The sequence below is a fragment of the Homo sapiens genome, unplaced genomic scaffold (assembly GCF_000001405.40).
Source record: "Homo sapiens unplaced genomic scaffold, GRCh38.p14 Primary Assembly HSCHRUN_RANDOM_CTG1".
NCBI lineage: Eukaryota > Metazoa > Chordata > Mammalia > Primates > Hominidae > Homo > Homo sapiens.
Genome location: NT_113901.1, coordinates 57,092 through 73,743, shown reverse-complemented (window position 1 = coordinate 73,743; position 16,652 = coordinate 57,092). Strand labels below are relative to the sequence as shown.

The 16,652-nt window shown below is 37.1% G+C and overlaps 1 long non-coding RNA gene across 11 annotated transcripts in view; it reads left to right on the top strand.

The window, feature by feature from the left end:
• Positions 1 to 16,652, top strand: part of LOC389831 (uncharacterized) — a 43,798-nt gene that overhangs the window by 12,992 nt on the left and 14,154 nt on the right. The gene's annotated exons all lie outside the window — the stretch shown is intronic.

The following is a 16,652-nucleotide window of genomic DNA, read 5'->3' as shown; positions in this document are numbered from 1 at the left end:
ATTTTTGTGGTGAGAACATTCAAAAGCTTCTTCTCTAGCTATTTTTTTATATCTTTATATATTAACTTTTTTTAGAGACAGGATCTTGCTCTAACACACAGATTGGAGTGCAGTGGTGCAATCCTAGCTCACTGTAACCTCAAACAATCTTCTAACCTCAGCTTCCCAATTAGCTGAGACTACAGGAACCTGCCTCCATGCCTGGATAATGTTTTAATTTTTCATAGAGACAGGGTCACACTATGTTGTCCAGGCTCATCTTGAACTTCTGACGTCAAGTGATTCTCCTACCTCATTCTCCCAAAATGTATGGATGGCAGGAATGTGCCACCACAACTGGTCTCTTTTAGCTATTTTGTAATTTGAGATAACTTTTCATTAATTATTATTATTCTGCCGTGTAACAAAAAACAAAAACTTATTTCTCCTATCTAATTGTAACACAATACTTTTGAAGCTGCCTTTTCCCATCTCCCTGCTTCAGTCTCTGGGAACCCCTGTTGTACTCTTTGCTTATATCAACCCTTTTTTTCAGGTTCCTCAAATGAGTGAGATAATAAGATCATAAAGTATTTGTGTTTCTCTATGTGGCTTATTTTACTTAACATGGTATGCTCAAGGTTCATCCATGCTCTTTTAACTGACAGAATTTTATCCTTTCTTATAGCTGAATAGTATTTCACTGTGCATATATAGTACATTTTCCTTATCCATTTATCTGTTGCTGTACATTTGAATTGATTCCATATATAAGCTATTATAACTAGTTCTGTAACTAACATGGAAATGCAAATATCTTTTTGACACAGTGATATCCTTTCTTTTGTATATACATGCAGGAGTAAAATTGCTGGATCATGTAATACATCTATTTTTAATTTCTTTCAGAAACCTCCATAGTATTTTCTATAGTGGCCATACTAATTTACAATTCCACCAACAATGTATACATTCACTCATTTTATATCCTCATTAGTACTTGTTTTATTTATTTATTTATTTTTATTATAGCCATTCTAAATGGGAGTGAGGCGGTACCTCATTGTGGTTTGGATTTTCATTTCCTTAGTGATTAGTAATGTAGAACATATTTTTATGTTCCAGTTAGCCATTTTTGTATCACTTTTTGACAAACATCTATTAAGATGTTTTGCATTTTTTAATTAGATTATAAGTGTATTTTATTTTGAGATTTTAAAGTTTCTTATTTATTCTGAATATTAGCCTTTTGTCATATGTATAGCCTGAAAGCATTTTCTTTTATTGCCTAAGCTGTCTCTTCAATCTTTTAGTTTTTTTAATATGGAAAAGCATTTTAGTTTGACATAATGTTGTTTGCTTATTTTTGATTTTGTTGCCTATGTTTTGACATGTTATTTTAATAATCCTTTCCCCGTCGAATGTTATAAAGCATTTTTTAGTTTTTCTCTAATAGTTTCATAATTGATAGCATTACATTTAAGTCTTTAGTTTGAATTGATTTTCATATATGGCAAGGCACAGGGGTCTAGTATAATTTTTCTGAATTTAAATATTTAAATGGCCCTGCATCATTTATTGAAGAAATTAGCTTTTCCCTAAAGTGTGTTCTTGGCAATTTTGTTGACAATCAGTTGGCTTTAGGTGCATAAACTAACTTCTGGGCTTCTTGGGCACATTAGTCTATGTGTTTGTTTTTATGCCAGTACAGTGCTGTTTTGGTTACTATAGCTTTGTAGCAAGTTTTGAAGTTTGATAAAGTGATGCCTTTAGCTTTGCTTATTTTGCTCAAAGTTATTTGTCTATTCAGAGTTTTTTGTGGATCCACATAAATTTAAAATATTTTTTCTATTTCTGTGAAAAAATGTCATTGATATTTTGATAAAAATCACGTTAGTCTCTAGATCACTTTGGGTAATTAACAGTATTCTTCCAGTGTATAAACACAAGATTTTTTCATTTATTCATTTGTATTTTATATTTTTTATCCATGTTTTGTCATTTTCAGAGTAGAGATCTTGTACCTTTTAAGTTAAGTTTGTTGCTAGGTGTATTAGTCGGGCTCCCTAGAGAGATCACAAGATCTCACAATAGGTTGTCTGCAAGTTTTAGGAGCAAGGAGAGGCAGTCCACGTCCCAAAGCTGAAGAACTTGGAGTCTGGTGTTTGAGGGCTGGAAACGTCCAGCACAGGAGAAAGATGTAGACTGGGAGCTTAGGCCAGTCTCTCCTTTTTACGTTTTCCTGCCTGCTTTATATTCATTGGCAGCTTATTAGATGGCGCTCACCCAATTAAGAGTGGGCCTCCCTTTCCCAGCCCATTGACTCAAATGTTAATCTCGTTTGTCAACACCCTCACAGGCACACCCAGGATCAATGCTTTCTATCCTCCAATCCAATCAATTTGACAGCCAGTATTAACCATCACATTAAGTATTTTAATTTTTGTACCTTTTGCTTATGCAGAAGAAACGTTGGATGAAATTCAACATTCATTATGATGAAAACTCTCAACAAATTAGGAATAGAAGTTATGTTTCTCAACACAATAAAGGCCATTTATGACAAAGCAATGCTAACATTATACTGAATAAGGAAAAGCTGAAAGCTTTCTCTCTGAGATCCGGAACAAGACTAATCATCCCCACTTTCAGACCTCTTATTCAACATAGTACTGGAAGTCTTAGCCAAGGACATTATGCAAGAGGTAGAAATAAACTCATACTAATAGGAAAGGATGAAGTCAAATGGTCTCTGATTGTGGACAAAATAATCTTATATGTGAAAAACTCTAAACACTACACCAAAACCTAATAGAACTACTAAACAAATTCTGTAACATTGCAGAAAATCAACAGAGTAGCAGCTTTCTGTATGCTGATAGCAAAATATCTGAAAAATAAAGTTTAAAATTCCATTTTAATAACTAACAAAAATTAGTTATTTTGAGTTTATTTCTTTATATGAGGTGGAGTCTTTCTCTGTCACCAGGCTGAAGCACAGTGGTGTGATCTCCGCTCACTGAAACTCTTGCCTCCCGGGTTCCAGAGATTCTCCTGCCTCAGCCTCCTGAGTGGCTGGAACTATAGGCGTGTGCCACCACCGCCAACTAATTTTTGTTTGTATTTTTAGTAGAGACGTGGTTTCCCCATGTTGGCTAGGATGGTCTTGATCTCCTGACCTTGTGATTCACTTGCCTCAGCCTCCCAAAGTGCTGGGATTACAGGTGTGAGCCACCACACCCGGCCTTGAGTTTATGTTTTTATTGGTGCAAGGTAAGGTGTAACTTTGTTATTTTTTCCTTGTAAATTTTTATTATTCTCAATACTGTTTGTTGAAGAGACTGTTCTTTCCTTATTGTGAATTCTTGGAACAGTTTTTAAAAATAAGTTTACTAAACCCATGATGTCTTATGTCCGAACACTCATCTGTTTCATCATTCATTTGTCTTTCTGTCAGTACCAAACAGTTTTGATTACTATACCTTTATAGTATGTTTTGAAATTAGAAAGTATGATGCCTCTATCTTTATATTTTTTTCCCAATATTATTTGGCTGTTTGCAATCACTTGAAATTCCATAAAAATTATAGAATATTTTAAAACTTCTGCAAAAAGTTTCATTGGTATTTTGATAGAAAGTATATTGAATCAACTAGGGGTGGTGGCTCATGCCTGTAATCCCAGCACTTTGGGAGGCTGAGGAAGGTGGATCACCTGAGGTCAGGAGTTCGAGACCAGCCATGGAGAAACCCCATCTCTACTAAAAATACAAAATTAGCCAGGTTTGGTGGCACTTGCCTGTAATCCCAGCTACTCAGGAGGCTGAGGCAGGAGAATGGCTTGAACCCAGGAGGTGGAGGTTGCAGTGAACTGAGATCACACCATTGCACTCCACCCTGGGCAACAAGAGCAAAAACCCATCTCAAGATAAAAAGAAAGAAAAGAAAAGAAAGAGCATTGAATCAGTTAACCACTTTCGGTAGTAGTGACATGTTAACAATATTAAGTCTATAACCTCTTGAACAAGAGTGTGTTTGAGAATTTGTTGTTTAATTTTTACTTATTCTTTGACATGCTAGTGTTTTTAACTTCTTGTTTTATTGTATCATAGTTAGCAATAATTTTGTAATTCCATCTGCTTAAATTTGCTAAGATTCATCTTTTAACTTAACAGGTGGTCTATCTGGAATATTGTGGCATGTGTGATTAAAAGTATTGCAGATTCTACTGTTGAGTGGAGAAATATAAATGTGACTGTTAGGTCTAATTGTCCTATCGTGTTGTTGAAATCCTCTGTTTACTTATCCATCTTATGTTTGTTTTTTAATTTACATTACTAAAAGTCAGATATAAAAGTCATTTACTGTTATCAGGTGCTGGCTACTTCATGTTTCAATTCTGTAAAATGTTGCTTCATATGTTTGGGAACTGTGATGTAAGGCACATGCGTTACTGTTGTTGCTTTTATTGTTGTATGTTGTTTTAATGTTTTTGCTTTTATTGTTGTATGTTGCTTTATTGTTGTTGCTTTTATTGTTGTTGTTTTTATTGTCCTTTTCCTCTTGTCTCTTGAGGAAGTTTTTGATATAATATGTATTTTGTCTACCATGACAGTATTTGATTTTGCATTTAATATTTTTTATTATTCTTTCATGTACAGGTTATATGTGTTCCAGATCATAATTTGGTTATTTGTAGGAAGCAGAGAGTTGAATCTTGTTTCATGAATTTATTTAGTGAAAGTATGTTTTTGATTGACATAATTGATTTATATAAAAAAAATTACTAAAAGGGAATGATTTCGTATTGCATTTTGTTTCTTTTTTGTTTTAGGTCCTGCAGCATTTTTTTTTTTTTTTTTGAGACGGAGTCTCTCTCTGTCGCCCAGGTTGGAGTGCAGTGGTGAGATCTTGGCTCAAAGTAAGCTCCGCCTCCCGGGTTCATGCCATTCTCCTGTCTCAGATTCCCCAGCAGCTGGGATTGCCGGAGCCTGCCACCACGCCCGGCTATTTTTTTTTTTTTTTTTTTTTTTTTTGGTAGAGACGTGGTTTCACCGTGTTAGCCAGGATGGGCTCGATCTCCTGACCTCGTTGATCCACCCACCTCGGCCTCCCAAATTGCTAGGATTACAAGCGTGAGCCACCGCCCCTGGCCGGTCCTGTAGCTATTTCGTTCCTGTTTTTCTCTCTTGTTCTCTTTCTTAGTGTACTATTGATTTTTGTAGTGACATGTTTTAATTCTTTTCTCACTACTCTCTGTGTGTGTATGTCTTTCTGTGTGTGTACTATAGGTATTTCCTTTTTTTTTTTGACAGGGTCTTGCTCTGTCACCCAGGCTGGAGTGCAGTGGCACAATCTCTGCTTACTCAAGCTCTGCCTCTCAGGCTCAACTCAAACAATCCTCCCACCACAGCCTTCTGAGTACCTGGGACCACAGATGTGCACCACTACTCCTGGCTAACAGTTGTTATTTTGCATAGAGACAGGGTTTTTCCATGTTACCCAGACTAGTCTCAAAATCCTAAGAACTGTAGGTATTTTCTTTGTTGTTACTATAGATATTACCAAGAATAACTACTATTACATATAAAACCCTGCCTCTTTATGGCTCCCTATGTGTTTTATTGATGTCACAAATTATATCATTTTGTGTTGTGAATCTGTTGGCACAGATTTATAGTCATTTTTAAGTCTTTGTTGTCTCAAATATATAGCAGAATTAAAGTATTCTGTGCATCTTCATTATAATTACAAAGAATATTATGATTGTGTACATAATTTTCTCTATTAGAAAATGTCATATTTTACATAATTTTGTGTTGCTCTCATCATTATTTCATTTTTTAATGTGAATGACTATTTAGCATTTTTTAAGACAGGCCTAGTGGGTATAAATTTATACAGTTTTTGTTGATCTTGAATATTCTTTATTTTTATTTTTTAATTCATTTGAAATGATAGTTTTGGCAGACATAGTGTTCTTGGCTGGTAGTTGCCATTTTTTCAGCACTTTGAGTATGTCATCCTACAACCTCTTACCTGTAAGTTTTTTTGCTGAGACATCTGCTGGTCATCCTGCAGGGGTAAACTTGTACATGCTAAGTCACTTTTTTCTTGCTGACTTCAAGATTCTCGGTGTTTTAACTTTTGAATCTCTGATTATAATGTGTCTTGTCATGGGTCTCCCTGTGTTGTTACTAGTTAGAGTTGGTAAAGTTTCATTAAATTTTAGGTCATTTTCTCCCTCAAATTCTGAGTTCTCTGTCACTGTTTGTTTCTTGAAATAATTTTGCTGCTCTCTTTTCTCTTTTTATTTTAGAATTCCCATTATGAGTATATTGGCCATCTTAATGGTATCCTATAATTCCCTTAGGCTCTCTTAATTTTTTAAATTATTTTTAGCCTCCTCACCCTATAATTTCAAATGACTTCTTATGAGGCTTGCTGTATTTTTTCCTGCTAGATCAAACCTGTTGTTGGACTTTCTAGTGAATCTCTAAACTCAGGTATTTTACTTTTCAGCTCTACACTTTGTTTCTATTTTGCACTTTTAATCACTTCTTTGATAATCTCATTATCTTCATGCATTGTTTTCTTTTTCTGTTTAGTTTTCTATATTCTTCTTTAGCTGACTGAGCATCTTTAAGCTAGGTGTTTTAGCCAGGCACAGTGACACGTGCATGTGACTCCAGCTACTTTGAAAGCTAAGGCAAGAGGGCTACTGTATTAATCCATTATCATGCTGATAATAAGGACATAAACAAGACTATGTAATTTATCATGAAAAAAGTTTTAATGGCCTCTCAGTTTCACATGGTTAGGGAGGTCTCACCATTATTGGAACAAGCAAGAGACCGTTCAGGGGAACCTCCACTTATAAAACCATCAGATCACATGAGACTTATTTGTTATCATGAGAACAGCATGGGAAGATCCCACCCCCATGATTCAATTACCTCCCACAGGGTCCCTCCCAGGACATGTGGGGATTATTACAATTTAAGATGAGATTTGATTGGGGACACAGAGCCAAACCCTGTCAATTACTTAAATCCAGGAGTTTGACACTACCCCGGGCAATATTGTGACAAGCTATTGGTAAAAAATATTTTCACAGATTACTCAGGCATTGTGGAATGTTCCTGTAGTCTCAGGAAGTTGGAGGCTGACGTAAGATTATTCCTTGAGTTCCCCAGGAACTTGAGGCTGCATTGAGCTATAATCATGGTATTGTATTCCTGTCTGGGTGAGAGAGTAAGACCTCTTTTTAGAATTTCAAATTTATTTTAGATTTAGGAGGTACCTACACAGGTTTTTTACATGGGTATTTTGCATAATGCTGAGGTTTGAAGTATGAGTAATTCCATCAATCAGGTAGTGAGCATAGTACTAAGTAGACAGTTTTTCAGTTCTTGGTCCCTCCCTCTCTCCACCCTCTAAGAGTTGTCTATTATTTTTGTTTTTCTGTCCATGTGTACCCAGTGTTAATTTCCATTTATAAGTGAGAATATGCAGTATTTTCATTTTCCATTTCTGCATTAATTTGCTTTGTATAATGGCCTTTTGTTGTGTTAACGTTGCTGCAAAGGAGGTTTTTTTTGTTTGTTTTTGCTAAGTAGTATTGCTGTACATGTGACACTTTTTAAATTCAATTTACCATCAATAGGCTGGACATGGTGGCTGATGCCTGTAATCCCAGTGCTGTGGGAGGCCAAGGCGGGTGGATCATGAGGTCAGGAGATCGAGACCATCCTGGACAACGTAATGAAACCCCGTCTGTACTGGAAATACAAAAGTTAGCCAGGCTTGGTGGCATGCGCCTATAGTCCCAGCTACTCGGGTGGCTGAGGAAGGAGGATTGCTTGAACCTGGGAAGTGGAGATTGTAGTGAGTTGAGATCGTGCCACTGCACTCCAGCCTGGGCAACAGAGTGAGACGTCATCTCAAAAAAATAAAAAATTACCATGAATAGGCACGTAGGTTGATTCAGGTCCTTCCTCTTATGAATAGTGTAGTGATGAACCAACAAGTGCATGTGCTATTTTGGTAGAATAGTTTATTCTCTTTTGGGTATATACCCAGCGGTGAAATTGCTGGGTTGAATCACAGTTTAACTCTCAGTTATTTGGAAAATCTCCAAGCTGCTCTCCACAGTGGCTGAACTAATTTACATTCCTATTAACAGTGTATAAGTGGTTTTTTCCCTCTAAAACCCCATCAACATCTATTATCATTTTACTTTTTAACAAAAACCATTCTAACTGGTGTACAATGGTGTCTTATTGTGGTTTTTATTTACATTTCCTTGATGGTTAGTGATGATAAGCTTTTTTCATGTTATTTGGCCACTTGTATGTGTTCTTTTGAAGAGTGTCTGTTATTGCCCACTTTTTCATGGGGTAATTTTTTCCTTGTGAATTCTTTAAGTTTCTTATAGATTCTGAGTATTAGATTTTGTCAGGTTCATAGGTTATGAATATTTTTGCCATTCTGCTAGCTTTGGGGTAAGTTAGTTTTTATTTTTCTAGTTTCTCTAAGTGTGATGTTAAATTGTTAGTTTGAGATCATTCTAACTTCTTGATGCAGGTATTTAGCACTCTCAACTTTCCTCTTAACAGAGCTCTTCCTACAACCCAGACATTTTGTTATATTGTGTCTCTTCTATTTCAAAATCTTTTTAATTTTCTGCCTTAATTTTTTTGTTTATCCAAAATTCATTCAGGAGCAAGTTGTTTAATTTCAATATCATTCTGTGATTTTGTGAGATTTTCTTGGTATTGATTTTTATCTTTGTTCCATTGTGGCCTGTCATATTCTGTGAGCAGATGAGAAGAATTTACTTTCTTTAGATGATGTGTTGCATATACTATAAATGTCTATTAGTTTCATTTGATCAAGTGTCGAATTAAACTCCAGAATTTCTTTGTTAAGTTTCTGCCTAGATAATCTGTCAAACACTTAGTGGGGAGTTACATTCCCCTACTATTATTGTGTGTCTACTTGAGTCTTATTGTCGGTCTAGCAGTAATTGTTGTATAACTCTATGTTCCCCAAAGTTGGGTGCATCTACATTTACGATAGTTAAGTCTTCTTGTTGAATTGAACCCTTTATCGTTACGCAATACCTTTCTTTGTTTTATTTTACTATTAATGATTTAAAGCTATTTTTTCTTAAAAGAGAAACAATTCCAGGTATGGTAGCTTGTGCCAGCACTTTCAGACTGAAGCAGTCGGATTGCCTGAGACCAGGAGTTTGAGACCAGCCGAGGCAACACAGCAACATACTGTTTGTACAAATTTTTTTAAAGAAACTATACAGGAGGGGTAATGTGCACAACTGTGGTCATATTTACTCAGGAGACATAGGTGGCATGACTGCTTGACTTCCGAAATTTGAGGTTACAGTGAGCTGTGATTCCACCAGTGTACTCTGTCCCAGGAGATAAAGTAAGATCCTCTGCATAAAATGAAAAAGTAAAGAAAAATAAAAAGATTTTAAGTTAAAAAAATAATTCCTAGATCTCCACTTCTTTAGGTTCACTTGAATATATATTTTTCTCCTTTGATTAAGTTATATTTCCTGGTTGCTTTTACTTACTGTAGTTTTGTTAAGGTTTTGATCAATTAAGAAACCACTACCTATTTTATCCTTTATGAAAGAGCTTTATACATGGGAAAATTGACAACATTCAGCCACAGTAGTCATACTGGGAGCTTCTCCAATCTGTTGTCAAAATGTGTCTTCTTTGGACTACTGTATGTATTTTCTTGTTAATAAGGTTTACCTCTGTTTCCTCTTAGGAGCCTTTAGTCTCTTCCCTTCGTCACTGTTGTAGGCACTACAGTCTCTGTTGTTGTAAGAAGCATTTATCTTTATTCTCAGTTGACCCAAGCTGTCATTTAAACTCAGTCTCTATTCTCATCAACACTAAATGTTAAAGGAAGCAATTTCCAGTCTTTAGATAACCCCGGTATAACTCAGTAAGTCAGAAGTTTGCATACGCATTTCACTCTTTTTTCTTTCCCAAAGGAGAATCATGGAATGGACAGATTTTTATCTAACTGCGCTGTTCTGTAGTGCACAAATGTGACCAAATTTTCTTCAAAATGTGGTTATGGTTGGCTTTTTTCTCATGTGGGGTGCTACAAACTCAACTGGCTTTGTTCACCCAATTGTAGTTAAGTTCATATGTCAATGGAGAGAAACAGGATCTCAGGTTCTGCTTCAACTGTCATTGTCTTCTCAGCTGACCTCATTTTGTACATTAGATTTATAAAATATATTTACTTTAATCTCATCACCGAATTTTTAAAAAAATTATTATTTTTCAGCTCTTTTAGCAATATATCCAATCAAGACCCAGAGAAAACAGTACATAGAAGCTTCTTTTCAAAAAGTAATATTGGGAAGATATGGGAGCTCTGGCCTTGAACTTTTACACTTAGGAGAGTGGGAAATTGAAGGATAAGTGTAAACGGCACAAAGTATGCTATGATGAATATACCAGATACACAGCAATTACCTACAGCAAAAATGTCACTGCTAGAAGAGCTCAAAACCATAAAGTATTTTGGAAAAAGCATAATTAATGTTGATTCTTTTTTCTGAACTATATATTTATATAATTACATACCAATAACAATTTTTGAAACATATCATGTTTTTGAAACAAAATTTAGAAAATCGCAATAGTGGCCTAGGCCAGGAATATTTCTTCTAATGCTATCCCTCCCATAGTCCCCCACTTCCCGACAGGCTCCAGTGTGTGATGTTCCCCTTCCTGTGTCCGTGTGTTCTCTTTGTTTAACTCCCTATTATGAGTGAGAACATGCGATGTTAGCTTTTCTACTCTTGTGTTAGTTTGCTGAGAATGGTGGTTTCCAGCTTCATCCATGTCCCTGCAAAGGACATGAACTCATCCTTTTTATGACTGCATCGTATTCCATGATGTGGACATGCCAAGTTTTCTTTATTCAGTCTATCATTGATGGTCATTTGGTTTGTTTCAAAGTTTTTGCTCTTGTGAACAGTGCCATAATAAACATACGTATGCATGTATCTTTATAATAGAATAATTTATAATCCTTTGGGTATATACCCAGTAATGTGATTGCTGGGTCAAATGGTATTTCTCATTGTGGATCCTTGAGGAATCACCACACTGTCTTCCACACTGGTTGAACTAATTTACACTCTCACCAACAGTGTATAAGTCTTCCTATTTTTCCACATCCTTTGTTGTTTCCTGATTTTTTTAATGATCACCATTCTAACAGGTGTGGGATGGTTTCTCATTGTGTTTTTGATTTGCATGTGTCTAATAACCAGTGATGATGTCCTTTTCTTCATTTGTTTATTGGCTGCATAAATGTCTCCTTTTGAGAAGTGTCTGTTCAAATCCTTTGCCCATTTTCGATGTTGTTGTTTCTTTTTTTCTTGTAAATTTGTTTAAGTTCTTTGTAGATTCTACATATCAGCCCATTGTCAGATGGATAGATTGCAGAAATTTTCTCCCATTCTTTAGGTTGCCTGTTCACTCTGATATAGTTTTTTTTGTTGTGCAGAAGCTCTTTAGTTTAATTATATCTCGTTTGTCAATTTTGGCTTTTGTTGCCATTGTTTTTGGTGTTGTAGTCATGAAGTCTTTGCCCATGCCTATGTCCTGAATGGTACTGCCTTGGTTTTCTTCTGGGGTTTTTATGGTTTTAAGTCTTATGTTTAAGTCTTTAATCCATCTTCAGTTATGTTTTGTATAACGAGAAAGGAAGAAGTCCAGTTTCAGTTTTTTGCATATGGCTAGCTAGTTTTCCAACACCATTTATTAAATAGGGAATCCTTTCCCCATTACTTGTTTTTGTCAGGTTCATCAAAGATCAGATGATTCTAGATGTTGAGTGTTATTTCTGAGGCCTCTGTTCTGTTCCATTTGTCAATATATCTGTTTTGGTACGAGTACCATCCTGTCTTGGTTACTGTGGCCTTTTAGTATAGTTTGAAGACAGCTAGCATGATGCCTCCACCTTTGTTCTTTTTGCTTAGTATTGTCTTGTCTATGCAAGACCTTTTTTGATTCCATATGAAATTTGAAGTAGTTTTTTTTCTAATTCTGTGAAGAAAGTCAATGGGAGCTTGATGGGGATAGCAATGAATTTATAAATTACTTTGGGCAATATGGCCATTTTCATAATATTGATTCTTCCTATCCATGAGCATGGATTGTTTTCGTTTGTTTGTGTCCTCTTTCATTTCCTTGAGCAGTGGTTTGTAGTTCTCCTTGAAGTGGTCCTTTACATCATTTTTAAGTTGGATTCCTAGGTATTTTATTCCCTTTGTAGCAATTGTGAATGAGAGTTAACACATGATTTGGCTCTCTGTTTGCCTATTATTGCGTATAGGAATGCTTGTGATTTTTGAACATTGATTTTGTATCCTGAGACTTTGCTGAAGTTGCTTATCAGTTTAAGGAAATTTTGGGCTGAGATGGTAGGGTTTTCTAGATATACAATCATGTCATCTGCAAACAAAGACAATTTGACTTCTTCTCTTCCTATCTGAATACGCTTTATTTCTTTCTTTCTTTGGCTGATTGCCAGAACTTCCAATACTATAATGAATAGGAGTGGGGAGAAAGGGTGTTCTTGTCTTGTGCAGGTTTTCAAAGGGAATGCTTCCAGTTTTTGCCCATTCAGTATGATATTAGCTGTGCATTTGTCATAAATAACTCTTATTATGTTGAGATAGGTTCCATCAATACATAATTCATTGAGAGTTTTTACCATGAAGAGGTGTGGAATTTTATTGAAGGCCTTTTTTGCATCTATTGAGATAATCATGTGGTTTTTGTCATTAGTTCTGTTTATGTGATAGATTTTATTTATTGATTTGCATATGTTGAACCAGCTTTGTATCCCAGGGATTAAGCTGACTAGATCGTGGTGGATAAGCTTTTTGATGTGCTGCTGGATTCGGTTTGCCAGTATTTTATTGAGGATTTTCGCATCGATATTCATCAGGGATATGGGCCTGAAATTTTCTTTTTCTGGTGTGTCTTTGCCAGGTTTTGGTTTCAGGATGATGCTGGCCACATAAAATGAATTAGGGAGGAGTACCTCTTTTTCTATTGTTTGAAATAATTTCAGAAGGAATGGTACCAGCTCCTCTTTGTACCTTTGGTAGAATTCGGCTGTGAATCCGTCTGGTCCTGGACTTCTTTTTGTTGGTAGGCTACTAATTACTGCCTCAATTTTAGAACTTGTTATTGGCCTATTCAAGGATTCGACTTCCTACTGGTTTGCACTTGGGAGGGTATATGTGTCCAGGAATTTATCCATTTCATCTAGATTTTCTAGTTAATTTGCAAAGAGGTATTTATAATATTCTGTAATGATACTTTTTATTTCTGTGGGATCAATGGTTATATCCCCTTTATCATTTCCTATTGCATGTATTTGATTCTTCTCTTCTTCCTTATTAGTCTGGCTAGAAGTTTATTTATTTTCTTGATCTTTTAAAAAAACCAGCTCCTGGATTCATTGATATTTTGGACGGGCTTTTTGTGTCTCTATCTCCTTCAGTTCTGCTCTGATCTTAAATCTTGTCTTCTGCTAGTTTTTGAATTTGTTTGCTCTTGCTTCCCTAGTTTTTTTAATTGTGATGTTACGGTGTCGATTTTAGACATTTTTCTGCTTTCTCTTGTGGGGATTTAGTGCTGTAAATTTCCCTTTCAGACTACTTTAGTTGTGTCGTATTTTACTTTTTAAGCCCTCAATCTTTCTTTTTCATCATGATAGTCTTTACTGTTTTATGTTTATGTAATGTAAAATTGACTACACAATTTTTACAAAGATTTTATGAAAATATTTTATTGAGAATGTACAAACCTGTCAGTCAATTAGAGGAGAAGTTACACTGTCATAATAAATAGCCACAAAGCAAAACCCCAAAAGACATCCAAATCAGAATAAAACAAAACATTTTAACAAAAACAAAAAGAACAAACTGGCAACAAATATGTGAAGTTTATATTACAAAGATGCTCACTTATCCACTCTAAAGAGAGCTTTTAGAATTTGATTTAAAATACGGCAAAGACATTATCCCACACTTCACAGAAAAAATAAATTTAAGCAGCTGTTAACACATGAATGTATTATCAAGCTCAGATATAATCAAAATTAAATATTTGACAAGAGATTCTACAGTTTGGGAGAAATAGAAGTGTTTTTTTTCTTTTCCCCAGGCCCACAAGTCTAGTTTCTTGCTCTTCTTCACTATAATGGGGTTTGTCATCAGCTCCCCAAAATATGGGAAGCACAGAGCAGGTGGTGGCTGAAGGTGGGGTATCCTGTGAAACCATATTTAAGATCAGAGCCCTTGGTCCATTGTGTTGTAATCAGCTGGCTCAGGAAAGAACACCTGGCTGTCCAGAGCTCTACACCTACTGCACTGGGTGTGAAAGGAGGCCTGAGAACCCATGGGTCCCAAACCCACCCCACTCCAAATTATCATCCAGTATTGAGAACTCTGACACCAAATTCTCACAGAGCATATGTTTATGCAGTTTTACATTTAATTTCTCATTACATTACAATTGGGAAACTGAGGCCCCAGAAGAGGCAGAGACTGGTCCAGATCTCAGGAGGTGGGCAGGCTCCAGAGCATTAGAGAGGGCTCCAGCTTCCTAGGCCTTGGCACCGTCCCACTTATCAGGTTTGTTTTCGAAATTAGAGTCTGTAGCTACACATTCAGGAGCACAGAAAATGAGCAGATTCAGGGTTCTGTTCACATGGGGTCCTCTCCATGTCAGTTTCAAGATAACAGGACTGGGGTTCTGCATCCAGCTCTGAGGGCAACTGGAAGTAAAATGAGCTATGCTCCACCTCAGCCTAATGTAGACAGTGCCTACAGGAAAGCCTGTTTTCTTCCTCATAAATAGGGGTGCCTGAAGTGGGTGACCTTGATGATTTCACATACTCATAAGTGTCTGCCAGCCTGGATTCTTGCTCTGAGACTGCAAAAATGCACCCACTCTGCAGATCCTTCAAATCAGAGGGAGGCATGGCCACTTGAGAGGCATCTTGGGTAGATGAAGATGAGACAGAGTTAAATGTGCCAGAGCACTGGACTCTGAGGCTGAGGTCCACGGAAAATCTCAGCTACTGTTGCGTTCTTAAGGTCCTCATTTGAAAGTGGTAGAAAATAATTTCACTGGATAAGGGGAGGATACCTCATGAGTAAATAGCACAACCAAAAAGGTGGAGGCAAAGAGAGGGCAAAACGGGATTCCTAGGTCACTCATTATACTTGGGGCCTTCAGATCCTGCTACTTTATCCCCTAGGACCTTGAAGAACCAGTGTCTTGAGGACAGAAAAATCAAGGTATCAGATTTGTTCGGTAGTGCTCCTGCTTGGGGCTGTAGGGTTAGTGATGGCCAGGAGGTGGTTACAGCCTACTGTGTTTCTGGTGCCCACTGAGCTTTGCTGGAGCAGCTGGAACAAGTAACAGTCACACAACTCATGTTGTTATCAGTGATGTCCACATTATCAGGTGGTCAAAAGGGGAAGGGATATTAGAGATCCTCCATATAATCACTTAGCCAGTCTTTTTTCCCTTGCGCTCACCATTTGCCAGTGACCCTGGTGGGTCCAACATGTGGTACAGAAAATTATTACATCATGTCTGCACCCCCCAACCCAGGACCAAACAGTCTGAGGACCGCTGGACAAAAGCACTAAAGCAAGTATATGTGAAAGAAAAGAGCAAGGACTATAATATAAAGTAGATTATTGAGAAGAAAACCTGGAAAATTATTGCATGGGAGGAACTCAGGCGTCACTGAGGTGACTTTTAATCCATGATGAGGATGACAGCAGGGAGGCATCTGCACAAGCATGTGTCAGGGAGAAGCCACCCTTAGTGAAAAAACTCATAGGTGTGAGTTTGGCAGAGGTAAAAAGGGACTAGTTTGGCTGCAGACAGCCTGAGAAAGAGATAAGCAGAGGGATGGAGAATCCTAGGGCCTGGGAGATGAGGTTAGATATCTGCTCCTTTCTGACAACATTGCCCTAAAAGTCAGCACTTTTCAACAACATATAATATCTCATAATTTGTGTGGACCAGAATCTGGACACAGTTCAGCTGGCTACCTCTGCCTTCAGGTCTTTTATGAGACTGGGGGCTGTGGTCTTAACTGAAGCTGGACTGGGAAAGCATGAGCCTTTAAGCTGACTCATGTGAAAATTGACAGGGTTTAGTGTGGCTGGAGAGCCTGACTTTCCTTCTCTCTACTCGTCTGAGCACCCCCTCACCCTTTGTTATGTGGGTCTCTACATGGAGCATCTCATAGCATTGGAGCTTGCTTCCTGTGTTTGAGGAATACAATAGACAGAATTAGACAAAAAGGTTTACACAAAAAGAGACAGAAAGATCGAGGGCGCAAACGAGAAAAACCCAGTAGGAGAAAAATTAGAGCTTTAAAAACATCTTGACAGGGTGCGGTGGCTCACACCTGTAATCCCAGCACTTTGGGATGCTGAGACGTGTGGATCGCCTGAGGTCAAGGGTTTGAAACCAACCTGGACAACATGGTGAAACCACCGTCTCTTCTAAAAATACAAAATGAGCCAGATGTGGTGGCGCATGCCTGTAATCCCAGCTACTTGGGAGACTGAGG